Source organism: Homo sapiens, chromosome 2 (assembly GCF_000001405.40).
Source record: "Homo sapiens chromosome 2, GRCh38.p14 Primary Assembly".
In the NCBI taxonomy this organism is placed as follows: domain Eukaryota; kingdom Metazoa; phylum Chordata; class Mammalia; order Primates; family Hominidae; genus Homo; species Homo sapiens.
The window spans coordinates 130,180,507-130,205,702 of NC_000002.12; the positions used below are offsets into that span (position 1 = coordinate 130,180,507).

Here is a 25,196-nt window from a genome sequence, read left to right on the forward strand (position 1 = left end):
GTGATCCACCCGCCTGGGCCTCCCAAAGTGCTGGGATTACAGGCGTGAGTCACCGCTCCCGGCCTCAATTCTTAACCTAGCTATCAACTGCAGTGTTAAAGAAAAACGCCTCAGTCCTAAGGCACTTGGTCAAGAAAACGCTGCACTACTACAAAATGATCAAAGCAGCATTAAACTGTGGACTGTTCGGTAAGTGCGGAGCTCTAGAGACGATGAAGGGGAGAGCATCTCTGCTCAGAAGAAGCTTTCATGGGCAGCGACTGAAAGAATGAGGCCCAGAGGAATTTCTAGGAAATTTCCAAGAAAGGAAATTCAAACCCGAGAATTCCCAAGAGGTGTCTCCCACACCCCTGTTATCTGACTCTGCCATGGCCACCCTCCCCCGTCACAGGTCTCTGCGTGCCATGCACCTAGAGTCCACTTCATGGCGACTCTCCAACACCTATTTTCTCCAGGAGCTGCTTCGGACCCCGTTTGTTTTTTGTTTTGTTTTGTTTTTCTGACAGCGACAGCCCTTGGGCAACGCTAATCATTCCAAGCAAATTCTGTCATGCCAAGACCTCCCTTAACAGCACGCGCCCACTTGTTCCCAACTCTCCTGCCAATTGGGCTTCGGGAGCCTCCAAAACCAAGGCTCGGAGATGTGGAGCACACAGGGGAAGGGTCGAGCTGGGACCCACACCCGGCTCTTACACCCACACCGCCTGTTGAGCCCAAGGCTCAACTTCAACACAAAGCTCTCCTTCCCTCAATTCCTTCAACGAAGGTTAACCTTCAGCGAACACCTACCGGACCGGGACAGAGTGTACGAGCCGCGCGGGAAGGTGGCACAAAGGCATGGCCCAGAGGGGTGGCAGAAGACTCAACCGGGGCCCTCCACTCCCCAGCCTGCCCTGCCTGGGCAGAGCCGGCTGGCCGGCCCGAGTCCTGGGGCTCGCGGAGGAACGGAGATGGCCTCCGCAGGGGCTCGGGGAAGCCCCCAGGGCGCCGGACCGTCTCAGGCGCGCATCCCGCGCCACTCACCTGTGGGATCCATAGCGTCGCTCGCCTCAGAGATGGAAGCCGCCATTCCGCCACGGCGCCGAAAGTCGTCATCAAGCTGCGCGCAGAGCCACGCCCCGCGGCCGGGCGGGAAAAGCGCTTCCACCTCTTTGGGCCGTTACCTCAAAAGGCGCGTGCGCAAAGCGAAGGCCGGCCGGGCGGGGAAGAGAAATGGCGAGGCAGGAGTGCGGGGGAGGGAGTGGTCCTTAGCTGAATGCGCCTGCGTTGTGGCGGCCTCCGGCGCCCCAAGGTACTTTCTCCCCAGCAAGGAATCCGCGTGCGCGTAAGCAGTATTGTTGATTAGTGCCCCCCCCTTCCCCCCGCCCGCCCCGAAAAGCGACCCCTAGTGGTGCACCGGTGCGGACCAGAAAATTGCACGCTTTCTTGAAAGAGGCATTTACCGAGCGCCCAATGTATGCCTGGCACTGGGCTGGGTGCTGCCACCTAAGCGAGCACGACCAATGCAGTCTATCAGGGAGGCCCAGATCGCCAAGCAGCGGACCCCTGCGGTCCGCCATGCCACTCCCGGCTCCTAGAGCGCCGCTCAGCACACCGTGAGCGCCCAATAACTGTTGGGCTTCAATGACGCCGCGGAGGCGGCCCCGTCCCCGCGCTCCCGCCCCTCCCGCCAGGGCAGCCCGGGAGGCCAGACGTTGACGCTGCAGGGAGAGGGTGGTGGGCGCAGCCGCTAGGGGGCGCGGCGGGGCGGAGCGCACCTTTCCGCGGGCCGCGGGGATGGCGGCGCAGGGCGTAGGGCCTGGGCCGGGGTCGGCGGCGCCCCCGGGGCTGGAGGCGGCCCGGCAGAAGCTGGCGCTGCGGCGGAAGAAGGTGCTGAGCACCGAGGAGATGGAGCTGTACGAGCTGGCGCAGGCGGCGGGCGGCGCTATCGACCCCGACGTGTTCAAGTGAGCGGGGCGGGTGGGGGCCGCATGCTAGCCAGACACCCCCCGACCTCTGCTTTCCGGGTACGCCCGGCCCGCTGGTCGGGAGGAGCCCCCGCCCCCGTCCTTGTCGGGTCTTCAGGGAGGTGGCCGCGCCGGGCGGAGAGGGCTCACCGGCCCCGCGTCTGTCCCCGCCAGGATCCTGGTGGACCTGCTGAAGCTGAACGTGGCCCCCCTCGCCGTCTTCCAGATGCTCAAGTCCATGTGTGCCGGGCAGAGGCTAGCGAGCGAGCCCCAGGACCCTGCGGCCGTGTCTCTGCCCACGTCGAGCGTGCCCGAGACCCGAGGTCAGAGCTGGGCCCGCTGTCCCTGCCCCAGTGGCGGGGGTGGCGGGCGGGGAGGGGGCAGGCGCGGCACAGCGGCGGCGTGGCCCTGAGTGGCCAGGCCTGTCTGTCGGTCTAGGCCCAGCACCTGCAGGGCCCATCCGTGGGCTCTGCTCCTGGGCTTCGCTGCCAGCCTTAGGAGGCACGTCCAGGTCAGGTGGACGCAGAGTGCGTACCCCAGGGTGGTCCAGGCTGGGTAGGGCTCCTCCGCTTAGCTCCCCTCCACCTCTTCACTCAGGCCTTCATCCTACAACGTCGGGAATCAAGACAGTTTGGGGCTGGGCGCCCTGGCTCACGCCTATAATCTTTGGGACCCCAGGGCGGGAGGATCGTTTGAGGCCATGAGTTTTAGACCACTCTGGGTGACAGGGTGAGATCCTGTCTCTAAATGTTTTTCAAAAGACAGTCTCGATCTCTGTCCTGTGGTATACAGCATCCAGGGAAGTGCCCAGGGACCAGGGCAGGCAGAGGTCTTCCTGCCTTTACCCCACCTGGGCCCAGTTCCTGCGCAGGGGCTTGGCCAGTCCTGGTCAGCTTTCCCTCTGATGACTGCAGGAAGAGAGTCAGACGCGGAACTCCCAGGGTGCAGAGGCCTGCGGGGTCTGAAGGGCCTCCTCCCTCTCCAGTGTGGTGACTGGGCTGAGGAGATTCTGGGACTGAGAGTGTCATGGTGGAGCCTCTGTCCCTGCTCATCCTCTCCGCATGTTGCTTCTGCTCCCGATGGCTCTCTCTGAAATGCAGCACAACCTCCTAGGCCAATGGAAGAAGGCCCAGAGCTGGCTCCCTGCCTGGAAGCACGAGGAGACCCGCACAGGCATCCTGAGAAGGCGTGGAGAGCAGGCTGCCTTCATGGGGGGAGTGCCAGGGCCTGGGCACCCACACCCGCTGACCCAAGAGGGCCCGGGCACCTGCGTGCTGGCCTCTTCACTGACCTTCGCTCTGTCTGCTCTCTTTGTGTCTCTCTCTGACCTCCAGAGGCCTCCTTTCTCTCTGCCAGGAACAGTAGCCCCCCTGCAAGGCCCTCCTTTTCCTCCAGCCCGCAGCCTGCGGCCTCTCCGGTTCTGCTCCACAGCCCGGCTGCCACACACTCGCCTCTCTCTCCAGGCCCCCCGGGTTCCCTCCGCCTCTCTTGCTGCCTGTTCTCTCCTTTTGCAGGTTGCGTTTATTGGCTTATCTCTGGGGGTTGGTGCTCTCCCTTGTTTCCATGGAAACTGCCTGGCCCCAGGAGGCCCAAGCAGCTTTGAGCTCCAAGGGCAGGACCATGCAGGCCATCGCTGCCCTGCCGCTTAGCCACAGGGCACGATTTCTGACTCGGTTTATTAGAGACATAGTGTGGCAGTCTCTAGACCCCACAGTCGGGCTGGCATCTGGGGACAGGACCAACACCCCCACACCCCAGAGGCGAACTGTGGTGAGTGTAAAGAGCCCCTCTCCAAGGGAAGACAGCCGGCCAGAGTGCGGTGTGCTGTGCTGGAGAGCACAGCCCCAGGCGTGACAAACACCTCGGCCTCTTAGAAGTTGTCCCTTATCTGGACAGGAAGTCTGGAGGCTGAAACAGAGACTCCCACCTTCCCAGAGTCTCCTGGGCAGTGCCACACAGATGCCATATGCTGGCCCCGTGGCCACACTCCAGCACTCAGCCCCCTTGCCCACCTCACTCCTGAGTTAGCACACTTTCCAGGTGTCAGCAGGTGTGATCAGGGGCTCAGAGCCAGGGTCCTGTGAGAGCCCAGGGGTCTTTGGTTGCACCTCCTGCGTGCACTTCCTGACAGCGCCCACCTCACTGCCACCCAGAGCTCGGACCCAAGGGAGGGTGGAGAGGGGCTGAGGGACAGGCCTGGAGTAGGGGTGTATGCACTGCAGGCTGAGATGAGCAATTGAGGGGCAAGTGTCCAGCAGGAGGGAGAAACTGGGAACAGAGTCCTTGTCACTCCAGGGGATGTTGCTGCTCACTCAGCACTCACTCAGGGCTCTGGGAGCCAGGCCTAGCTCTCAGGGCAGAGGGTGTGGCAGGGAAGTGAGATGATCACACTCAGAGCCCAGTGAGAGGCAGTGAGGAAAACCACCAGCGAGACCAGTGTGGTGGCTCACACCTGTAATCCCAGCACTTTGGGAAGTCAAGGCAGGTGGATCCCTTGAGCTCAGGAGTTCAAGACCAGCCTGGGCAACATAGCAAGACCCCATCTCTACAAAAAATACAAAAACTAGCCAGGCAGGGCTGGGCGCGGTGGCTCACGCCTGTAATCCCAGCACTTTGGGAGGCCGAGGCGGGCGGATCTCGAGGTCAGGAGATTGAGACCATCCCGGCTAACACGGTGAAACCCCGTCTCTACTAAAAATACAAAAAAAATTAGCTGGGCGTGGTGGCAGGTGCCTGTAGTCCCAGCTACTCGGGAGGCTGAGGCAGAAGAATGGCGTGAACTTGGGAGGTGGAGCTTACAGTGAGCCGAGATCACACCACTGCACTCCAGCCTGGGGGACAGAGCGAGACTCCGTCTCAAAAAAAAAAAAAAACTAGCCAGGTGGGCATGGTGGTGGCGCCCATCTGTAGTCCCAGCTACTTGGGAGGCTGAGGTGGGAGGATCGCCTGAGCCTGAGGGGGATGTTGCCGTGAGCCAAGAGCTTGTGACTGGACTCCAGCCTGGGCAACAGAGCAAGACCCTGTCTCAAAAAAAAAAAAAAAAGAAAAACCGCTAGCAATGGAGATGGGAGGAGGCTTCAGAGCCCAGAGAGCAGCAAGGGTTACACAGGGGGGTAACAAGGGTTACAGCAGGAGGGGGGTCGGCAGAGCCCCACACGTGTGAGCTGGGGCAGTGGGAGGGCGTGGGTGAGGCAGAGCGCTGTCCAGGTGCTGGTAGGCCGGGGGCGGGAGGAGGCAGGTGGGGGGGCACGGTCAAGATGTATGTGAGGGTTGTGGCACTGGAAATGCAGGCATAGAGGGGCCAGGAGGATTAGGGGGTGCTGTGTGAGCGAATGGGGGCTCCGAGAGAATTTACCCAAGGACAGGAGTGGCCTGGAGTGCTGGGACCCTCAGGGTCATTTGTTCCTTGAGGGCTCTGTCCTGGAAGCATAGCCCAGGTCCTGTAGGCTGGGTGGCAGAAAGCCAGGACATGAGGGCACCGAGGCCCTGTGGAGATAGAGTGGAACCTGAGGAGGAGGTGGAGGGGAATGGGGCAGATGTGGGGCCACACCAGGAGTGTGCTGCTGAGTGAGAAGCAGAGGCCACAGATGGAATGCTGAGAGCTCTCTGAGGCCCACATGTTACAGCATCTGACCACACAGAGCTCCGGCTGCCCTGGTAATGGCAGAATCTGGGGTGGAGGACATAAGGGGGGTTGTTGGAGTGATCCGGCTGGGGGGCATGGAGGCCATAGGTTTCCCACAGGACTCGGGTGTGGAGTTCTCCAGGCTGTGGGCCAGGCCCTCTCAAGCTTGCCTCTGAGCTGCAGCAGGCACCCTGGGTCCTCTGGATGCCTGTCCCCCAGCCATCCAGACAGCCTGTGGGGACAACCACCACCAGATTCACTCATACCCACAGGGAAGGGGAAATAGAAAACCCCAGAAGCACAGAGGGGCAATGCTTGTCTTGGTGAGAGTCTGGAGTCATTGAGGGAAAAATAAATTCAGTCAAGCGTTCTATTTAAGTTTAGAGAAACTATACGTTTTAAAAGTTGTCCAGAGCATGCATGTAAGATGACGTTTGGAGTGTGGAAGCCATCTCACCTGAGCTGTGCTGCCTGATACAGGAACCTTGAGCCACACATGGCTGGCATGGTCATTGCACTGCGTGTGGTATGCACAGCAGATGCCAAATGACCGGTACAAAAGGGAATGCAAAAAACCCACCACACCTTGGGAGTCCACAGCTACTGGATCTCTTGAGCTCAGCAGTTCAGGACTAGCCAGGGCAACACAGGGAGACCCAATCTCTACAAAACACAAAAATTAGCAGGGCATGGTGGCACACATCTGTAGTTCCAGCTACTTGGGAGGCTGAGGTTGGAGGATTGCTTGAGCCTGGGAGGTTGAGGTTGCAGTGAGCTGTGACTGCACCACTGCACTCCAGCCTGGGTGAGAGAGTGAGACCCTGTCTCAAAAATAAACAAAAAACCCCAAAGTGAATGAGGCTGGGCATTGGTTCACACCTGTAATCCCAGCACTTTGGGAGGCTGAGGCAGGATCATCACTTGAAGCTCGGAGTTTGAGACCAGCCTGGGCAAAATAGCAAGACCCCACCCATTTCTACAAAGAAACAAGAAAAAGAACAGAGGTGAATGCAACATCTTATGAATAACTTATGTACTGATTACGTATTGAAATAATACGTTGGATATTTTAGATTAAAGTATTTGAGCTAATTCTGCATTTTCTTTTACTTTTTATTTATTTATTTATTTTTGAGACAGTCTTGTTCTGTCACCCAGGCTGGAGTGCAGTGGCACACTCATAGCTCACTGCAGCTTCAACCTCGTGGGCTCAGACAATCCTCCCACCTCCTCTTGAGTAGCTGGGACTACAGGTGCACACTACCACACGTGGCTAATTTTTTAATTTTTTGTAGAGATGGAGGTCTCACTGTGTTGTCCCAGCTGGTCTCTAGCTTCTGGCCTCAAAGGATCCTCCCGCCTTGGCCTCCCAAAGTAGTGGAATTACAGGCATGAGCCACTGACCCCTGCTGAGCCAGGCTGTTTTCAACATTCAATGGTCATTGACTATCTTTGGCGTTTAGGAGGGCCCTCCAGGGACCAGGCGTAGGGGCATCAGTCACCCCGCCCTCACACCCCAACCTGCAGCCACACTTGGTTCAATCCCACTGTCTAGCCCGTCTGACTCAGTAGCCCCTCCCGAGGGAGCAGGGCTAAGCAAAGCTGGTTTCCCCACTGCAAGGCACTGCAGGCCATTCTATTCTGGGCCTTCTCATCCTTCATAAAGTGAGGAGGCCTGAACAGGGCTCCCCACTAACCCTGAGAGCGCACAATTCCTGAAGATTTCCAGGATTTTCTTAGTATCAGTTATGGCTTAAAGTTATGTTGGTTTCACATTTCCAGGGTTTGTCAACCCTGTCAGATTTAAAGATAAGCATTATTAGCCAGGTGTGGCCCCATGCTTGTAGTCCCAGCTACATCGGAGGCTGAGGCAGGAAGATCCCTCCAGGCCGTGAGTTTGGGGCAGCAATGAACTGTGATTGCATCACTGTGCTCTAGACCAAGTGACAGAGCAAGACTCAGTCTCTAAACCCCCCTCCCCCACCACTCAAAAAAAAAAAAAAGCATTATTTGCTCTTTTCTGCTTCCCTCTCATCCTTGTTTCCAGAAGGGACTGGGTCATTGCTGAGGGGAGGAGAGGAAGCTCAGATGGCAGCAAGCTGAAGGGAAGCCGACTCTGAGTCAGGCCCAAGTCTGCGGCCTGCCATGCTGCGTGCTGTGGGGAGCTGAGAGCGCATGGGCACCTAAGCACCCAGATTAGGCTGCGGCTACAGAAGATCTGACTCTGTCTGGCCTGGCCTGCGGAGGGACTGTGGCCTCAGAGGAGGATGCTGGCCCAGTGTGGGAGCTGCTGCAGGGTGGCGGGGCCCGTCTGCTCATGGAAGACAGAATCCTTGCCCCTTGACCAGTCAGTGGGGACTAGAATTATGGCAGTTTGTACCACAAGAGATGCGTGGTGGCTATTGTCTGCTTTGTGCCTTTTTCACGAGTCACTGCTGGGCTGAGGTGGCCAATCATCACCCACCACGTGTTCCTGACTGCGCTCCTCCTTGGCTCAGGGCAACCCTGACTCCATCTTTGTTGAGTCAAGTGTGACAAGCTGACAGAGTTCCAAGCATGACACCGCTGTAACCCTCACCACCACCAGGCAAGAATGAGCAAAGATCTCATTCTCTGAGGAAGAACTCCCCGGAAACTCAAAAGGAGGGCCGTCCTATCCCTGCAGGGTATGGGGAGAATTTTCTGGTATTAGCATAGAAAGGGAGCTGGAGGTACCTCTGGAAGAGCGGGGGTCCACGGCATCTCAGACACAGGAGTCTCTGCTTGTTCAGGGTGACAGATGGTGAAACAGAAATGACCTAATGGATCTCTAGACACCCGGTTGCATCTTTTCTCCAGGAATCCAGTTTCCCATTGCAGGGTATTTGACTACACTTGATAAGAGGCCAGGGAAGGACCAGGATTGAGGCTGGGTGTTCTGTTGGCTGAACCCTTGTCTGGAGTCACCCTAAAAGTGATGGCAGGGGAGTTCCTGCAAGGGACTGCCCCAAACCTTTCCAGGATGAGAGCCAGTTGGGATTCCAAAGGAAGAAACACTTAATGCCAGGGTGGTCAGTCCAAAGCATTTGTTAGGGAGCTTACATACAGAGGGGGCTGCAGTGTACCCTCACGAGGGACAGCCAGGAAAGAGGTTGTGCCTAGGCACACCGCACTGAGGGGGTGGGGTGTGGAGTTTCTATGAGGGTGCAAGGAATTTGGCTGGGGTGGGACCAGTTTCCACGTGCTTAGCAACATGTCAGATCTTTCAGTGTTCCAGGCAACAACCTAAACGTGTATCAGTGTCTGGTAACATGCAAGCCCCAGCCAGGGTTTGAGCCTGCAGGGGGAACATGTAGCTGATTAGGTCAGAGTAGTCAAGGCACTTCCTCAGTCAGGACAAAGGAAACACTGGGGGGATGAAATGGGGGACCCAACACTGAGTCAGGCAGGGGACACATGCCCTGTTTAGAGCCCACAGGCCAGACCCTGCCAGGCCAGAGCAGGGGAGAGCCCTGGCCAAGGCACTCCACATGGGGGTCTGTGACCCCACGGGCAAGCCTGCTACCCGGGCACGTTTGTACCTTGGAGGGTCCTCTCAGTCTTGCCGATGCTGTCAACACCCTGAGCCCAGGGAAATCCATCCCATTAAAATAAAGGTCTGGCCCAAGTGTGGTTGCAGATTTTTCTTGGCTATCTTAAAGAGTAAAGTAAGCAAATTACAAATCAAAGAAACTCTGAACCAGTGGTCTTCATCCAAGAGAGCCTCTGGTGGTCAGAAGGAAAGTCTCAAGCATTCAGACTGTGGCAGGAACCCTGTCATGGAATCTGGCAGCTAAACCCGAAAGCAAGAGGCTTGACCACTGCAGAACACTCGGGTAGGTAGGAAACAATGAAAGAGCTTCCAAAATCAAAATCAGAAACCCAATTCCAGGACTTGGTGACTGCAGTACTTCCTGCCTGTCACCATCTAGGGCAGCTCAGATGTGCAGTCCAGCATGAACACACCTTGAGGATGAGGCAGCGCATCCCTGCTGCTGCCGCCGCTGATGGCACCATCAGGGCAGACTAGGTTTGCTGACCAGGCTAGGTGTGGACCAGCACACCTACCTTTCCCTAAATGGGCCCGTGGCATGTGTCCTTTCAAAATGTTCCCTTGGCAGTGTGCTCCTTGCATGGCTTTGCTCCTAGGACACATCCAAAAGGGTCCCCTGCACACTGCGAAGGGCTTCTGGGGCGTGACCTGTCTTTAGTGGTTCTGAGTCTCAGGACTTGGGGCTGATGCAGGGCCTCTAGCTGAAGGGACTTTGATGGAAATGTGCAGACACAAATGTTGCCCAAGGACCACGAGTACAGCAGGTGCTGCAGTTACGGGGCACGCCCATTCCTAATCATTGTGCTTTGTGTCTCCTCAGGGAGAAACAAAGGCAGCGCTGCCCTCGGGGGAGCATTGGCCCTGGCGGAACGCAGCAGCCGCGAAGGATCCAGCCAGAGGATGCCACGCCAGCCCAGCGCTACCAGGCTGCCCAAGGGGGGCGGGCCTGGGAAGAGCCCTACACGGGGCAGCACCTAGGATGGGGCAGAGACTTGTTGCATCTTTGTCCCCAGCAAAGGCTACATGTTACCTCCTTCAATTGATAATAAACCTTTCTGAGATGCAGAGGGTCCAGGTCAGATGTTGTCTACCGTTTTTTTTTTTTGTTTTTTTTTTTATATTAAGGCACACTTAGAATGAAGTTTCTGTGCCGGTCCTGGTTGTGCCACAGTGAACTAACCAGGTCCCTTCACCATGGGTCAACTTCCTGAACCTGATTTGGGTTCTGAGAAAAGGCATCTGGATTGCCAGGTCTTTTATAAATAGACGTCAACAAGCTTCACTTGAAGTGAAATGTGGGAGGTTTTTTTGGTTTTTTTGAAATGGAGTCTTGCTCTGTCACCCAAGCTGGAGTGCAGTGGTGCGATCTCGGCTCACTACAAGCTCCGCCTCCTGGGTTCACGCCATTCTCCTGCCTCAGCCTCCCAAGTAGCTGGGCCTACAGGTGCCCATCACCACGCCCGGCTAATTTTGTTGTATTTTTAGTAGAGACGGGGTTTCACTGTGTTAGCTAGGTTGGTCTCGATCTCCCACCTCATGGGAGGTTTTCTACCAAGGCAGTTGACAGTGCTGAGGGACAGGGTGGCTGTGTGTGCGCACAGAGGGCGAACGCTGCCTTCCAGGTTACCGTGGAGCACTGGGGTCAGCATGGGTGTGTTGTGACCTTCTGTGGGTCACGAATGCTGTGTGGAACTCGGTTAATATTCTTTCCCCCTCTAAAATGTCCTGACCTTACATATTTGACCCACAGCTTTAGAGACTTCATGGACAAGCCCCATCCACAGACCTCCAACACTTCATGCTCCCTTTTAGCCAGCATGACCCATCAATAAAGAAGCCCGAAAAATCACAAATTCAGTTGAAAACCCTGACTCAGCTTTCCTAGAATTTAGGAAATCTATACATTGAACGCCTGGCTTTGAAGAAACACTATTTTCCCCTGGTCAGGTTACTTCTGTGGCAGCTGCTTATGTACAGTCCTGCTGCACCCAACCCCACGCCAGCAGGGCAGGCTGGCACCCCACCGCTGTCCATGCAGGCTCTGGGGTCCCACCAGCTCCTGTAGGCAGAGCTAAGCTGCATGACACTCAGAGGTCTTGGTTTTATACAGAATCTTTAATTGCAAACAACTTGAAAGCAGCCATCCTAGGGGTGGCAGGGGAGAACCCACCACACCCTCCCCTCAGTATGCTTCGCCTTCTTCAGCCTCAGCTTCCACGGAATCCACGCCCACCTCTTCACAATCCTTCTCTAGAGCTGCCAGGTCCTCGCGGGCCTCAGAGAACTCTCCCTCTTCCATGCCTTCGCCCACGTACCAGTGCACAAAGGCCCACTTGGCATACATGAGATCGAACTTATGGACCAGGCGGGCCCAGGCCTCCGCAATGGCCGTGGTGTTGCTCAGCATGCACACGGCCCGCTGCACCTTGGCCAGGTCTCCCCCGGGGACCACTGTGGGGGGCTGGTAGTTAATGCCCACCTGCCAGAGAAGGGAAAGAAAGCAGTCCGTGAAGCTTATATCAAACCTAGAAATGGTAGCTACTTCTCCTCAAACAGAAGACACCCTGTAGGTGACACGGAGAATGCTCAGTTCACCTCACAAACGTCACTAAGCCCTTCTCTGCACCAGGCAGGGTGATAGTTCCAGACGAGGAATAGAGAAAGGAACCTTGGAGGTAGCCACCCTGGTGGGATCCCAAGCTACCTAAAGGGCTGTGTCCTAGTACCTGTGACATGTGATAGGTGCCCAGGTGAAGACAGTCTTCCCTCTGAAAATGTATGCTGCTTGTCTTCTTTGTAGATTACAATTAAATTCTGTAGCTAAACTTCTTCCACCCAGATAGATTCAGAGTACACAACTCTTGCCCATGCTATCACAAGGAACATCATACCCACTTCTGACCCACAAAACAAGCCACTGTGGATATGCAAAGGTAGCAGATCATGGGTCAAGAGTCATATGAATGCTGCTACCACAGCAGCAGGAAGTGGTCGAAGTGGTCCATGTGCCTGCCTAAGTAGGGGGTGACATTCCAAGGTGGTAACCAAAGGGGAAGCATTCCAAGTTTCAGAACTCGGTAATAACATGACCTGAGGTCCTGGCAGCAGTGCACAGGGTCAACTAGAGCAGGGATCAGCAAACTCGTTCTATAAATGACAACATCAGGCCAGGTGTGGTGGCTCAAGCCTGTGACCCCAGCACTTTGGGAGACAGGCGGGCAGATCACGTGAGGCCAGGGGTTTGAGACCAGCCTGGCCAACATGGCAAAATCCCATCTCTACTAAAAATACAAAAATTAGCCAGGCGTGGTGGCAGGTGCCTGTAATCCCAGCTACTTGGGAGGCTGAGGCAGAGAAGTGCTTGAACCCGGGAGGTGGAGGTTGCAGTGAGTCAAGATCGTGCCACTGCATTCCAACCTGGACGACAGAGCAAGATTGTCTCAAAAAAAAAAAAAAATTACCCGGGCATGGTGGTACATGTCTGTGTTCCCAGCTACTTGGGAGGCTGAGGTGAGAGAATCGCTAGAGTCTGGGAGGCAGAGGTTGCAGTGAGCCAGGATCACACTACTACAGCCTGAGAGACAAAGCGAGACCCTGTCTCAAAAAATAAATAAATAAATAAAGCTCACCACAGATATATAGTGTGATGACTCAGAAAGAGTTCAAAAGACATCACTGACCTGGGCGCAGTGGCTCACGACTGTAATCCCAGCACTTTGGGAGGCTGAGGCAGGCAGATCACCTGAGGTCAGGAGTTCAAGACCAACCTGTCCAACATGGCGAAACCCCGTCTCTACTAAAAATACAAAAATTAGCCGGGCATGGTGGCAGGTACCTGTAATCCCAGCTACTTGGGAGGGTGAGGCCAGAGAATTGCTTGAACCCGGGAGGCAGAGGTTGCAGTTAGCTGAGATCGCACCACTGCACTCCAGCCTGGTCGACAGAGCAAGACTGTCTCAAAAAAAAAAAAAAAAAAAAAATCACTGAATCAATTATCAACTCTGGTTCACTAACTTATGCCCACATGCCTAGCCCATGGAACAGGGATAGTCTCCCCAAAGGATGTGGGCCTTCAAGGCCAGTGTTATTTTGTGCATCTGCTGCTTGCTGAAAGGCCTCCATGTCACCCAGTCATACCTTAAATCCAGTCGGGCACCAATCCACAAACTGGATAGTGCGCTTGGTCTTGATGGTGGCGATGGCCGCATTGACGTCTTTGGGGACCACGTCCCCCCTGTACAACATGCAGCAGGCCATGTACTTGCCATGGCGAGGGTCACACTTGACCATCTGATTGGCTGGCTCGAAGCAGGCATTGGTGATCTCGGCCACAGACAGCTGCTCGTGGTAGGCCTTCTCAGCTGAGATGACTGGGGCGTAGGTGGCCAGGGGGAAGTGGATGCGGGGGTACGGCACGAGGTTGGTCTGGAATTCCGTCAAGTCCACATTCAGGGCCCCATCAAATCGCAGGGAGGCCGTGATGGAGGACACGATCTGCCCAATCAGGCGATTGAGGTTGGTGTACGTGGGACGTTCAATGTCCAGGTTGCGCCGACATATGTCATAGATGGCTTCATTGTCGACCATGAAGGCACAGTCAGAATGTTCCAGGGTCGTGTGGGTGGTTAGGATGGAGTTGTAGGGCTCCACCACGGCTGTGGAGACCTGGGGGGCTGGGTAAATGGCAAACTCTAGCTTGGACTTCTTGCTGTAATCCACTGAGAGCCGCTCCATGAGCAGAGATGCGAACCCAGAGCCAGTGCCGCCCCCAAAGCTGTGGAAGATGAGGAAGCCCTGCAGTCCTGTGCACAGATCCGCCTGAGAGAAACCAGACAACGTGAGCCAATGCCCGTGGAAGCCACACCACCAACCTCCAACAAGCCAGGGCCGCTTCTCTTTGCCTCTAAAGAGTTGATATGGATTCAAATCATCCATAATAAACATGCAATACACTTTGAAGCAAAGAAAAGCAAAGATCTACGGACAAATCACCATTGCAGACTCAGTAGGACTCAAGATGCTGGTCTAAGTTTTTGCTTGTTTGTTTGAGACGGAATCTTGCTCTGTTGCCCAGGTTAGAGTGCAGTGGTGCAATCTCAGCTCACTGCAACCTCCACCTTCCGAGTTCAAGCAATTCTTCTGCCTCAGCCTCTCAAGTAGCTGGCAGTACAGGTGTGTGCCACCACACCCAGCTAATTTTCGTATTTTTAGTAGACATAGAGTTTCACCATGTAGGCCAGGCTGGTCTCAAACTCCTGACCTCAGGTAATCCACCTGCTTTAGCCTCTCAAAGTGCTGGGATTACACGTGTGAGCCACCGCGCCCGGCCAAGATGCTGGTCTAAGTGTTGATAAAATGACTTCCCTTTCACATTCCAAGAACTACCCCTCCCATGCAAGACAATGGCCACATGAAACCTTCTCTTCTTACCAGTTTGCGGATCCGGTCCAGGACTAGGTCAACAATCTCCTTGCCGATGGTGTAATGGCCCCTGGCGTAATTACTGGCTGCATCTTCCTTCCCGGTGATCAGCTGCTCTGGGTGGAAGAGCTGCCTGTAGGTCCCTGTGCGCACTTCATCTGCAAAAGAGACAGTGTGTACTGTGAATTTTTAAGGCCTGTACTCACCAAGATGGACACATTCCAGGAGTGTTCACTTCTACAGAGCACATGCTGTTCAAAGTACATGACCTACATGTCATAGGTCAACAGTGGCAGTGTCTGGTAGAAAATGTCTCTGTGTGATAACCAAACTGCATATGCAATTTATGACTCTACGACGTTAAACTCAGCTTGTGGTATAAATGTCAGCACGACCAGTTCCCAGTGAAAGGAAATAAGCTCTTGCACTCCTACTCAGGTACATAATTCTTTCCTACGTGTAGCTACATCAAAGGCTGTAAGTTAAAAACTCTTACAACCTGGGCAGTCACCAGGTCAGTGTGACTTCTGCAGGGCAGTCCCATCAGGGCACCCTGGATGACCTGGGTCCCACAGGCTTTCAGGTGATGCTGTCATCTCCTGGGGGGCCACTGAAAGGTGCTGCCTCTTTGTAGCTCTCCTTGGAAACTACCTCAGGCTGCGAATCTGAAGGAAGCAAATGACTGTTCTGTACTTACCTTCTATGCCTAAGATGCAGGTCAAGACTCTCGTGCACCAGCATAAGAGAATGCACAGCATTCGGGAGGGAACCAATGCCACTGCACCCTGCAGGCAGGGCCACCTGAGCAGGGCTGAGGCAGCCATGAGGGAATCTCTTCACAGCCCATCTTACTGCTGGCAAAGCAGCTTTTCCCTGTAGGTCAGGTTTTCCTAAATTAGGAGCCGAGTCTCACAGACACTTTCATCACAAACCTTTCAGTTTCTCTCCTAACAATGCCATGGGCATATGCCTGTCTATCCCATCCTTTCAGCAGGAGGATTCAAAGGAGCCCACACGGGGCTTTACCAATGCTCTCCCACCCTCTCAGGAAAGCTGCCATCCAGTGCCCAGGCACCTACCGACCACAGTGGGCTCCAGGTCCACAAACACTGCTCTGGGCACGTGCTTGCCAGCTCCAGTCTCACTGAAGAACGTGTTGAAGGAGTCGTCCCCGCCACCAATGGTTTTATCACTTGGCATTTGACCATCGGGCTGAATTCCATGTTCAAGGCAGTACAGTTCCCAGCAGGCATTGCCGATCTGGACACCCGCCTGCCCCACGTGGATAGAGATACACTCGCGCTGTGAACCGGAACATAAATGTGAACCCATTCATTTCAAGGCAACTTGAAACTATATGGCATGCAAAATATTCTAATTTAATATTTATATAGTGCTTCAGTATCTGGCGCTTTCACAATCGATATTTCCTAGGAGGGTTAGTGACTGATCCCTTTATCGCTGTGAAAACTAATTGCTGTAAACCATACTAGCTAGTAAGTTCTAGAAGTAGCCCTAGAACCTGTTTGCCACTACACAAAACTTAGGTTATTTTAAAACTTGGAAGCCATTTAATGTCAATAATCAACCCCACATTATAGCCCGTCACAGTAATTCTCTGAAGAATAAGTAGCAGTTTTTGATTATGTCCTGATCAAAGGATAAGGTAGTCGGGTTGGGTAAGGAAATACAGAGTAGGTCCCAGGTCACCATGGTCCAAGCCCAGGTGCTCAGTGTGTGTCCTCTCTCTGCCCCCCAGTTCTACCCCGTCCATCATTCACCACCTGCTCTGTGCTCTCGAAGGCTGACCCTTGAGAACAGCATCAGAGGCCTTCCTCGCCCTCTGGCTTCTTGCTGGTTTGGTCAATGGCAGGCAGCAGTGGGATACTGGGGGGCTGGAGGAAAGCAGTGCCAGGGTACTCCCTCCTTGGCCCCTTCCTGCTCAACTGCTGTGGGTGACCTGAATCCCTCTCAAGGCTACACTTTTGGCAGGCTGCCCTCTTCATAAAACTACCCTCCTAATTTCTTGTAACCACGCCCTCTCTCTACCCCTTGAAGCCTACGGGTGTAATGGCTCCCAGACATCATCAGTGCTGGGACACTGCACTGTCCTTTGGTGGTTTCTTTAAACTCTGCCAAGCTGGGTGTGGTGGCTCATTCCTGTAATCCCAGCACTTTGGAAGGCTGAGGTGAGAGGATCACTTGGGACCAGTTTGAGACCAGCCTGGGTAACATAGTGAGTCCCTGTCCCTATGAAAAATTTACAAATTAGCCAGGTGTGGTGGCACACACCTGTAGTACCAGCTACTCGGAAGGCTGAGGCGGGAGGACTGCTGGAAGCCAGGGGTTCAAGGCTGCAGGGAGCCGTGATCTTGCAACTGTGTTCCAGCCTGGGCAACAGAGCATTTATTGAGTGCTGTCTCAAAAAAAAAAAAAAAAGAAAAGAAAAGAAAAAAGAAAAAGAAAGGAAAAAAAGGATAACTGACAAATCACAGCTATTCAGACTTGGGACTTGGGAATCTGTTATGTTAATGGGCTGCTTTTTTTGTTTGGTTTTTTGAGGCAGGGTCTCTGTGGCCCAGGCTGGAGTGCACTGGCGCCATCACGACTCACTGCAGCCTCAAAGTTCCAGGCTCGGCTGATCCTCCCACCTCAGCCTCCCGAGTAGCTGGAACCACAGACTCGCATCACCATGCCCGGGTAATTTTAGTATTTTTTTGTAGAGACTGGGTTTCGCCATGTTGGTCGGGCTGATCTTGAACTCCAGACATCAGGGGATCCGCCCGCCTCCACCTCCCCAAGGGCTGGGATTCCAGGCGTGAGCCGCCGCGCCTGGCCTAACGGTTGCCTTTAGGTGAACAAGGCAATGTTGCAGCAGCGTCTGAGCCTTAATTCCTCATCTGACCAATGTCCACAGCCCCAACCCCCGTCACCGAAGGCTCCTGCAGCTCCTCAGCTGTTTCCAGTAGCACAAAGACGTGTGAAGCGGGAGCAGCGCCCTCCTGTCTTCAGGAGGCGACGCCACTATTTGCTCTCTGGGGGACGGGATACCGTCAATGGTCCCCGTCCACTAAAGGCCGGCAGCTTCATCTAAAACAAAAGCCGCCGTCCCTGCCCTGGGACCTGCAGATCCAGGAAACGATCCCGTGTCCTCCTGTCCCGCACTAGACCCTGCGTCCTTCTCTGGCCTCCTCTCAGCGCCCAGGCCCGCAACAACGTCCCTCTGTCCACCCGAGGCCAACTTCGTCTGCCTGGGCATCTGCGGGGCGGGAGTGACCCGGGTCTTACCATGGCGAACTCCGCTGCTTCAGCCCAACGCTACTTCCAGACCTCAACCGGCTGCCACAGCTGCTGAGCGCCCAACTGCAATGACCTGCCCACGCGCGCCGCACAGGATTGGCCTGCCGGTGCCAGGCCGCCATTGGCTCGGAGTTCCTGGGAGGCAGGCCGAGGGCCGGATCCCAGTTCTGATTGGCCGTTGCTCAACACGTGTAGTGGGGATGCTCTCTGATTGGATGCAGGATTGGCGGGAAGGCAGCGGGGTCATCAAAGGCTGCGCGGTTGCTGAGGCATTTCCGGGGTGTCTTCCGACCAGGATTGGAACAGCTACTGCGCTGCCTCTGTGGGTCGCGGAACATTGCCTTGCTCCCAGTGTGCCACTGCCCCTCCCTGATTGCCCCAGGCCTGCTCCTCTCCCTGCCTAATTCAGATCTTTGCAAACAAGGCCACCTCTGAGAGGCCTTGCCGCCATCTACCCAAGTCACAGCAGCACCGCAATTATCCCCCTCTTCCCTGTTCCCACCCAGCACCCGGGAAGTGGCAGGATTCAATCACTTTTCTGACCCAAAGGGAGAAAACGGGCCGGGCGCGATGGCTAACGCCTGCAATCCCAGCACTTCGGGAGGCCGAGGCGGGTGGATCACTTGAGGTCAAGAGTTCCCGAGACCAGCCTGGCCAATATGGTGAAAACCCATCTCTACTAAAAACACAAAAATTACCCTGGCTGGTGGTAGGCACCTGTAATCCCAGCTACACGGGAGGCTGAGGTAGGAGAATCGCTTGAAACTGGGAGGCAGTTGTTGCAGTGAGCCGAGATTGGGCCACAGCACACTCCAGCCTGGGCAACAGAGCCAGACTCTGTCTCAAAAAAAAAAGGAAGAAAGGAGGCAAAATTAACGTAAGTGGAGAGGTTGGGCCAGGCACACCAGCTCATGCCTGTAATTCCAGTGCTTTGGGAGGCCACGGCAGGAGGATTGCTTCAGGTCAGGAGTTCGAGACCAGCCTGGGCAACGTGGTGAGTCCCACCTTGCCCGTTTCTACAAAAAATAAAATTAGCAAGGCATGGTGGCATGCGCCTGTAATCCCAGCTACTCAGGAGGCTGAGGCAGGAGAATCCCTTGAACCCGGGAGGCAGAGGTTACAGTGAGCTGAGATCACGCCACTGCACTCAAGCCTGGGTGACAGAGCAAAACTCCATCTTGAAAAAAAAAATAGTTTATTTGGGCCAAGTTTGAGAAGTGCAACCCTGGAGATGCAAGTTGTCTTAAAATATTAGCAGCAGTTATAAGTGGGTTTTTAAAGGAAAAGAAGAGGCAGTTCCTAAGTTGTTTACCAAGAATTTGAAATTAGAGAAGTCTTGCTGTGTTGTCCAGGCTAGTCTTGAACTCCTGACCTGAAGGGATCCTCCTACCTCGGCTGGCCTAGCCTGAGGAATTTATATTAAAATAACGTAAGCTATTTATTGGGCCAGGCGTGGTGGCTCACACCTGTAATCCCAACACTTTGGGAGGCCAAGGTAGGAGGATCACTTGAGGTCAGGAGTTCGAGACCAGCCTGGCCAACATGATGAAACCCTGTTTCTACTAAAAATACAAAAATTAGCCAGGTATGGTGGTGAGCACCTATAGTCCCAGCTACTTGGGAGGCTGAGGTAGGATAATCACTTGAACCCAGGAGGCAGAGTTTGCAGTGAGCCAAGATCATGCCATTGCACTCCAGCCTGGGCAACAGAGTAAAACTCCATCTCAAAAAAAAAAAGAAGGCAGGGCGTGGTGGCTCACGCCTGTAATCGCAGCACTTTGGGAGGCCAAGTCAGGCGGATCGCGAGGTCAGGAGATCGAGACCATCCTGGCTAACACGGTGAAACCCCGTCTCTACTAAAAATACAAAAAATTAGCCGGGCATGGCTGCAGGTGCCTGTAGTCCCAGCTACTCTGGATGCTGAGGCAGGAGGATGGCATGAACCCGGGAGGTGGAGCTTGCAGTGAGCCGAGATAACACCACTGCACTCCAGCCTGGGCAACACAGCGAGACTCTGTCTCAAAAAAAAAAAAAAAGCTATTTATTGTCTCTACATTGTCTACATTGTCTTTGGTATCACAAATTCCAGGAACAGGAAGATAATGGGTTGAGCTAGTCAGGAACAAAATGCCTTTAAACAGTCACCCCAGGGCATGAGTACAAGGCGTGTGACTGAAGTCCATATTCCTGTCTCTCTGGGCCTGATAAATTCTGCACACCTCACATAACTCAAAGTGCTGTGAACACTTTTTCTTATTTCTTTGGTGAGAGGGAGTGGGTTTATGGCCAACAGGAAAGGGGAAGGCACACCCCTGTCCCGGGAAGAGCAGAGTCAGGACCCAATACCCATTTTGGAGGACTTTGGAACAGTCACCTGATTCTTCCTTTTTATTTATTTATTTTTTGACACTGGTTCTCACTATGTTGACCAGGCTGGACTCAAATTCCTGGCCTCAAGTGATCCCCAAGCCTCAGCCTTCCTTGTAGGCTGGGACTACAGGTGTGTGATTCTTCCCAGTTTGAGTCTTCCATCCCTAAAGATCATCTTAGTGTGTATTCAGTTCTGGGGAAAGCCCTGGAGGAGACGTGCTGGCTTACCCCCAGCTCATCACCAGGATGCAGCATCCCACCATGTCATCTCCCTGGAGGGTGGCCAAGCAGGCCCTTAACTTTCCCTCCTGAGAGGAGAGCAGAGAAGAGAGAGGGAGCTCCCCCAGTGGGATGGGACTCACGAGGTCCAGGAGTTGAGACTTTTCTGTGGCCTTTGGGGACCTCTGAACAGTGCAATCAGGTCTTCCCTTAGAAAGATGCTTTGGCAAAAGGAGGAGGGGCAGGGACGGAGTTCTGCCGACAGCTGGGAAAATCAGAGGAGGCCACTGGCCCCTTCTCCCCAGGAGGGTGAATCCTTCTGTATTAGCCCCAGGCACCCTAAAAAATACCACTGACTGAGTGGCTTAAACAGCAGGGTTTTATTTTCTCACAGTTCTGGAGGCTAAAAGCCCCAGAGGCCTCTCTTCCTGGTTTGCACACAGCCACCTTCTCACCATGTCCTCCCACGGGGAGGTAGCATCCAAGCGCTCTGGTCTCTTATAAGGACATGAATCCTGTTGGATCAGGGCCCACCCTTATGACCTCACTTAACCTTCATCATCTCCTTATAGGCCCTGTCCCCAACTACAGTCACATTGGGGATTAGAGCTTCAGCGTCTAATATTGGCGGGGGGGGACACCATTCAGTCCATAGCCCCCCTTCCTCAGGGCTCCAACCACATCATGCACAGAACTCAGCTGTAGCCCACATCACACGGTGCTCTTCAGTCCAGCCACGCATCCTTCAGCGGCTGGGATACGTTCTCGACAATGCATCATCAGGTAATTTCGTTGACGTGAGAACATCACAGAGTGTTCTTAGACCAACCAAGGTGGTGCAGCCTACTGCACACCTAGGCCACATGGTATAGCATATAGCCCCTTGGCTACAGACCTGTACAGCAAGGATTTATGTATCTAAACACAGAAAAGCTACGGGAAAAATATGGTATTATAACTTTATGGGACCACTCTTATATATATGCTGTCTGTTGTTGACCGAAACATCATTATATGCTACGTGACTGCAATATTTATTTTTCTGATTATAAAAGTAACACATATTCCCAGTAGACAGTGTAGAAAATTAGCAACAAACTATTCTACTGTAAATGACAAAAGAAAAATTGAGCCTTGGACATGCCCATTTTTACTGTAAGTTATGATTCCATAATTGACTTGCAGTAAACAGTGTTTCTGGCCCCTAAGTATTGCTGCCTTGTGTATTTTATTTAGTATACAGCACTAAAAAAAACAGTCCTGTGAATTATTAAATCATTTCAATAAGTCAGCTAACAACGTTTACATATAGTTGCTACACAGAAAGGAACACAAATTATTTCCTCTTTTGCTCATATTCAAACAGGCTTGAGTGACAACTTGAGGACAAGGCGGCGCCTCGACAAGATTTCACACAGCAGCTACGGGGGCCAGAGAAGCAGCACCGCATGGTGTGGCAGGAGAAGGAGGACATGCACAAGGTAGGCAGTTTGGTTCTGGGTGAGAAAGGCTTAAGAGGCTTTGCAGAGTTTTGTAAGGTTCATTTCATACAGATGTTTACAGACCTCCTTGGGACTCCCACTCATGGACTGTCCCTGCTGCAAGCAGGACAACAGGGCCAAGCCTGGTTCCAGGGCCCCTGCTGTGCCCAGTTGCTACACAGCCCATGTCAGCTAGCTGGGCTTGGCTCCTTGCCATGGGTGCCTTTCAGCGTGCTGCCTGCAGCAGGCACCCACTTCACAGTCATCATCTGCCATCTCCAGTTCAACCCCGCAGAGTAAGCAGCAACTCCCCCAGCCCCGCCCATTCTGAATGAGGAACGATGTCCAGAGGGCACTGTGTTATCTGCAGTGACACGCTGCGCCTGACACCAGTGACCTCGTCCTTCTCTCTACACCATGCCCCCTGCTCTTAGAAGGGGCATCTTAGTAAGGACAGGGAACTGCAAAAGAGGACATATGTTAAAATGTGGCTGATTCCCCCATAACTCCTTTATAAATTTGGTTTTTAGTAAGATATCTGAACTTTATATTCAAATGCCATTAAGTATAGTAATAACACAATTAGGTTCTTTTTTCTTTTCTTTTTTCTTTTTTTTTTTTTTTTTTTGAGACAGAGTCTCTCTCTGTCACCAGGCTGCAGTCATGCGATCTCAGCTCACTGCATAGGCTCTGTTTTCTAAAATACATTCATTTATACACTGAAGTCCTTGGACCTGTAGTTTGTGATCTGTCCTCTAAAATGGGGCAGATTTTAAAACCAAATTGCTTCTTAAGATCATCTGTGGTATCATCCCCCTGCATGACTTGTCTGGGAGTGCAGTGTGGGCTGGGCGGCCTCTCATTGCTTGACACAGTCACAGTGACTCTGAGCTGGACCCAGAGAGGCCTGGGGAGGCCTTTCCTCCCCATGTGGGAGCCGCCCTGCCAGCTTGCTCCAGGTCTCGTCACTTCCAGTCTTAGTCCAGCAAGTGTGACAGTGACTAAACAGCCAGACTGTTGGCCAGATCAGCTGCAGGGAGGTCAGGGTCATCAGTGCAGCAAGTGGTAAGGTTGGGTTGTCAGTGCAGCTGAACTTGTGGTAAGTCCTACTTGTGGCCCTCCACCCAGGGAGTCTTTGATTTAAATCTCTTTCTTCTTAATTTTCTTTTCTTTCTTTTTTAGTTTTTTTAAGAGATGAGGTCTCACTATTTTGCCCAGGCGCTGGTCTTGAACTCCTGGGCTCAAGTGATCCTCCCACCTCAGCCTCCCAAAGTGCTGGGATGACAGGCTTGAGTGCCTGGCCTGATTTAAATCTTCAGCACTTTGCCTATGTATTTTTTTCTGCTTCTGCTTCTTCTTGTGTTTAAGTAACTAGATTGAGTGCCCAAATGCTTTATTCACCTTTGCAATTGTGTAGAAGACCTCGGGCAGAGGTTGGCATTACAGAGCCAGCTGTCCTGCTGTAAGTTACTCCATGCAGTTGCGAGGTCTTTCTTGGTGTGGGGTTGTTGCTCAGCACCTGAGCCCAGGTGGTCTTCCCATTGAATGTTTGGCTGGGGTGAGGTGAGCACAGGGCTTTTTCCAAGCAGGGGATTTCTCCCATCTGTGGCTTTAATCTGTAACCAGCATTGGCTGTCACTTGTAACTCTTTAATATAGTGTAAGACTAAATGTCCAGCCTTCCAGACCTTTGTTAAGCAAACATAAAACATCTGTAATTTTTTTTTCAGCAATTGGTTGAAGCTTCAGAGACATTGAAATCCCAAGCCAAAGAACTGAAAGATGCCCATCAGCAGCAAAAGCTGGCCCTGCAGGAGTTCTTGGAGCTCAATGAGCTCATGGCAGAGCTCTACTCCCAGAAGCAGAAGGTGTGGGACAAGGAGGAGGAGATGGAAGTAGCCATGCAGAAAGCTGACATGATGTGGCAGGAGATCTGAAGATCCAAGAAGCTCAGAAAGAGGATGCTGTTTAGCCAGATGTGGTGGCTCACGCCTGTAATCCCAGCACTTTGGGAGGTCGAGGCGGGTGGATGGCCTGAGGTCAGGAGTTTGAGACCAGCCTGGCCAACATGGTGAAACCCCGTCTCTATTAAAAATGCAAAAACTAACCAGGCATGGTATTGGGTGCCTGTAATCCTAGCTACTTGGGAGGCTGAAGCAGGAGAATTGCTTGAACCTGGGAGGCGGAGGTTGCAGTGAGCCAAGATCATGCCACTGCACTCCAGCCTGGGCATCAAGAGCAAAACTCTGTCTCAAAAAAAAAAAAAGGGGGGGTGGGGAGGAAGCTATTTAGATATTTCAGCGATGGTATTGACTGGACTTTTGTATGACCTTAATAAAACATCTTTGAAAACTTGGGCTGCATTATGTAAATTACTTTAAAATCATCTTAAGTTTTATGTGAACCCAAGTAAGTTGATCTGCCAAGCATTTATTTTGTGCTCATCCCTCAATATCTATTTGTGAAATTATTAAAAGAGGTTCCTAGTCCTAAGTTTTTAAAATTCCCTTTTAAGTAAGTAGAGGGTATTTATGCTGAGCTGTGATATGGCCCGGCTTAATTGAATAAGAGCACCTGCAGTCCATAAAGGGCCAATGGCAGTAGAAAGGCAAATCATAGTCTAGGACGCTTCAAGCCACTTGCTTTAGACCAGTGCTTCTGAAGCATCTTGGCCTAAGCACTCCTTTACACTCTTGCAAATTACTGGGGATCCCAAAGAGCTTCTACTTAGGTAGATTACAGCTCTCAATATGCACCACGGCAGAAATTAAAACTGAGAATTCTTTCAATACAACAAAAACCCATTACATGTTAACGTAAAGTTTGTAATGAAAAGTAACTATTTCTTTAAAAATCTAGTGAGAAGAATGGCATTTTTACATTTTTTTTATTTTATTTTAAGATGGAGTCTTGCTCTGTCACCCAGGCTGGAGTGCAGTGGCACAATCTCCGCTCACTGCAGCCTCTACCTCCCGGGTTCAAGCGATTCTCGTGCCTCGGCCTCTTGAGTAGCTGGGATTACAGACATGCACCACCATTCTCGGCTAATTTTTGTATTTTTAGTAGAGATGGGGTTTCACCATGTTGGCCAGGCTGGTCTCGAACTCCCGGCCTCAGGTGATCTGCCCTCCTCAGCCTCCCAAAGTCCTGGGATTACAGGCGTGAGCCACCGCACCCAGCCGCATTTTTACATTTTTTAATGTTTCTTTAATATCTGGCTTAATAGAACGTGCTCGGGTTCTCATGTCTGTTTCTGCACTCAAT

The 25,196-nt window shown here is 53.1% G+C and overlaps 3 protein-coding genes across 14 annotated transcripts in view, besides 5 other annotated features; 1 reads left to right on the plus strand and 2 right to left on the minus strand.

Moving 5' to 3' along the window:
• SMPD4 (sphingomyelin phosphodiesterase 4) overlaps positions 1–1,251 on the minus strand; it is a 30,366-nt gene extending 29,115 nt beyond the window's left edge. For 3 of the 7 annotated variants that reach the window (NR_033231.3, NR_033232.3, NM_017951.5), the window contains exon 1: positions 1,024–1,096. Coding sequence is in view for 4 of the 7 variants with exons in the window: in XM_011511444.4 (XP_011509746.1) it covers positions 790–1,095 (306 nt within the window). In the remaining 3 variants the exon portion in view is untranslated. Of the gene's footprint in view, positions 1–789 lie in introns of all 7 variants that reach the window. The other 4 variants (NM_001171083.2, NM_017751.4, XM_011511444.4 and 1 more) reach the window with 2 other exon arrangements.
• Positions 8–804: an enhancer, noted in NCBI's record as "H3K27ac-H3K4me1 hESC enhancer chr2:130938087-130938883 (GRCh37/hg19 assembly coordinates)". NCBI's record gives its function as "activates a minimal SCP1, AML or CMV promoter by ChIP-STARR-seq in primed H9 embryonic stem cells {active_cell/tissue: H9 hESC(primed)}" and the evidence as "EXISTENCE:reporter gene assay evidence [ECO:0000049][PMID:30033119]".
• Positions 852–991: a silencer, noted in NCBI's record as "silent region_11953". NCBI's record gives its function as "represses an Ori minimal core promoter by ATAC-STARR-seq in GM12878 lymphoblastoid cells {active_cell/tissue: GM12878}" and the evidence as "EXISTENCE:reporter gene assay evidence [ECO:0000049][PMID:35858748]".
• On the plus strand, positions 1,148–24,287 carry MZT2B (mitotic spindle organizing protein 2B). 6 transcript variants are annotated; one of them, XM_047445914.1, is made up of 4 exons: positions 1,756–1,946; positions 2,121–2,269; positions 21,819–21,933; positions 23,663–24,287. In XM_047445914.1, the coding sequence occupies exons 1-4, from the start codon at positions 1,777–1,779 to the stop codon at positions 23,688–23,690; spliced, it is 462 nt and encodes a 153-aa protein (XP_047301870.1). In that variant the 5' UTR covers positions 1,756–1,776; the 3' UTR covers positions 23,691–24,287. The 6 variants fall into 6 exon arrangements, with proteins under 6 accessions (XP_047301871.1, XP_047301870.1, NP_001317211.1 ...); NM_001330282.2 differs by lacking the exons at positions 21,819–21,933; positions 23,663–24,287 and adding exons at positions 3,281–3,460; positions 9,963–10,221; XM_047445915.1 differs by lacking the exons at positions 1,756–1,946; positions 21,819–21,933; positions 23,663–24,287 and adding exons at positions 1,148–1,291; positions 9,963–10,221.
• Positions 1,502–2,011: a silencer, noted in NCBI's record as "silent region_11954". NCBI's record gives its function as "represses an Ori minimal core promoter by ATAC-STARR-seq in GM12878 lymphoblastoid cells {active_cell/tissue: GM12878}" and the evidence as "EXISTENCE:reporter gene assay evidence [ECO:0000049][PMID:35858748]".
• Positions 2,705–3,441: an enhancer, noted in NCBI's record as "H3K4me1 hESC enhancer chr2:130940784-130941520 (GRCh37/hg19 assembly coordinates)". NCBI's record gives its function as "activates a minimal SCP1, AML or CMV promoter by ChIP-STARR-seq in naive H9 embryonic stem cells {active_cell/tissue: H9 hESC(naive)}" and the evidence as "EXISTENCE:reporter gene assay evidence [ECO:0000049][PMID:30033119]".
• Positions 3,442–4,178: an enhancer, noted in NCBI's record as "H3K4me1 hESC enhancer chr2:130941521-130942257 (GRCh37/hg19 assembly coordinates)". NCBI's record gives its function as "activates a minimal SCP1, AML or CMV promoter by ChIP-STARR-seq in naive H9 embryonic stem cells {active_cell/tissue: H9 hESC(naive)}" and the evidence as "EXISTENCE:reporter gene assay evidence [ECO:0000049][PMID:30033119]".
• On the minus strand, positions 11,239–17,933 carry TUBA3E (tubulin alpha 3e). The gene is made up of 5 exons (NM_207312.3): positions 17,852–17,933; positions 15,643–15,865; positions 14,573–14,721; positions 13,280–13,960; positions 11,239–11,621 (listed from the first exon to the last, which is right to left on the minus strand). Exons 1-5 carry the CDS (start codon positions 17,852–17,854, stop codon positions 11,325–11,327), a joined length of 1,353 nt encoding a protein of 450 aa, NP_997195.2. The 5' UTR covers positions 17,855–17,933; the 3' UTR covers positions 11,239–11,324.
• Positions 24,288–25,196: the final 909 nt, after the last annotated feature.

What these genes read in the sequence shown, in the direction of transcription:
- TUBA3E (NM_207312.3), bottom strand. An exon ending in CCTGGAGCCCACTGTGGTCG is followed by an intron (nt 14,722 to 15,642) that starts GTAGGTGCCTGG and finishes TCTCTTTTGCAG; the next exon opens with ATGAAGTGCGCACAGGGACC. An exon ending in TGGACCGGATCCGCAAACTG is followed by an intron (nt 13,961 to 14,572) that starts GTAAGAAGAGAA and finishes GGTTTCTCTCAG; the next exon opens with GCGGATCTGTGCACAGGACT.
- MZT2B (NM_001330282.2), top strand. Translation starts at nt 1,777, where the DNA reads ATGGCGGCGCAGGGCGTAGGGCCTGGGCCGGGGTCGGCGGCGCCCCCG. An exon ending in ATCGACCCCGACGTGTTCAA is followed by an intron (nt 1,947 to 2,120) that starts GTGAGCGGGGCG and finishes TGTCCCCGCCAG; the next exon opens with GATCCTGGTGGACCTGCTGA. An exon ending in GAGCGTGCCCGAGACCCGAG is followed by an intron (nt 2,270 to 3,280) that starts GTCAGAGCTGGG and finishes TCTGACCTCCAG; the next exon opens with AGGCCTCCTTTCTCTCTGCC.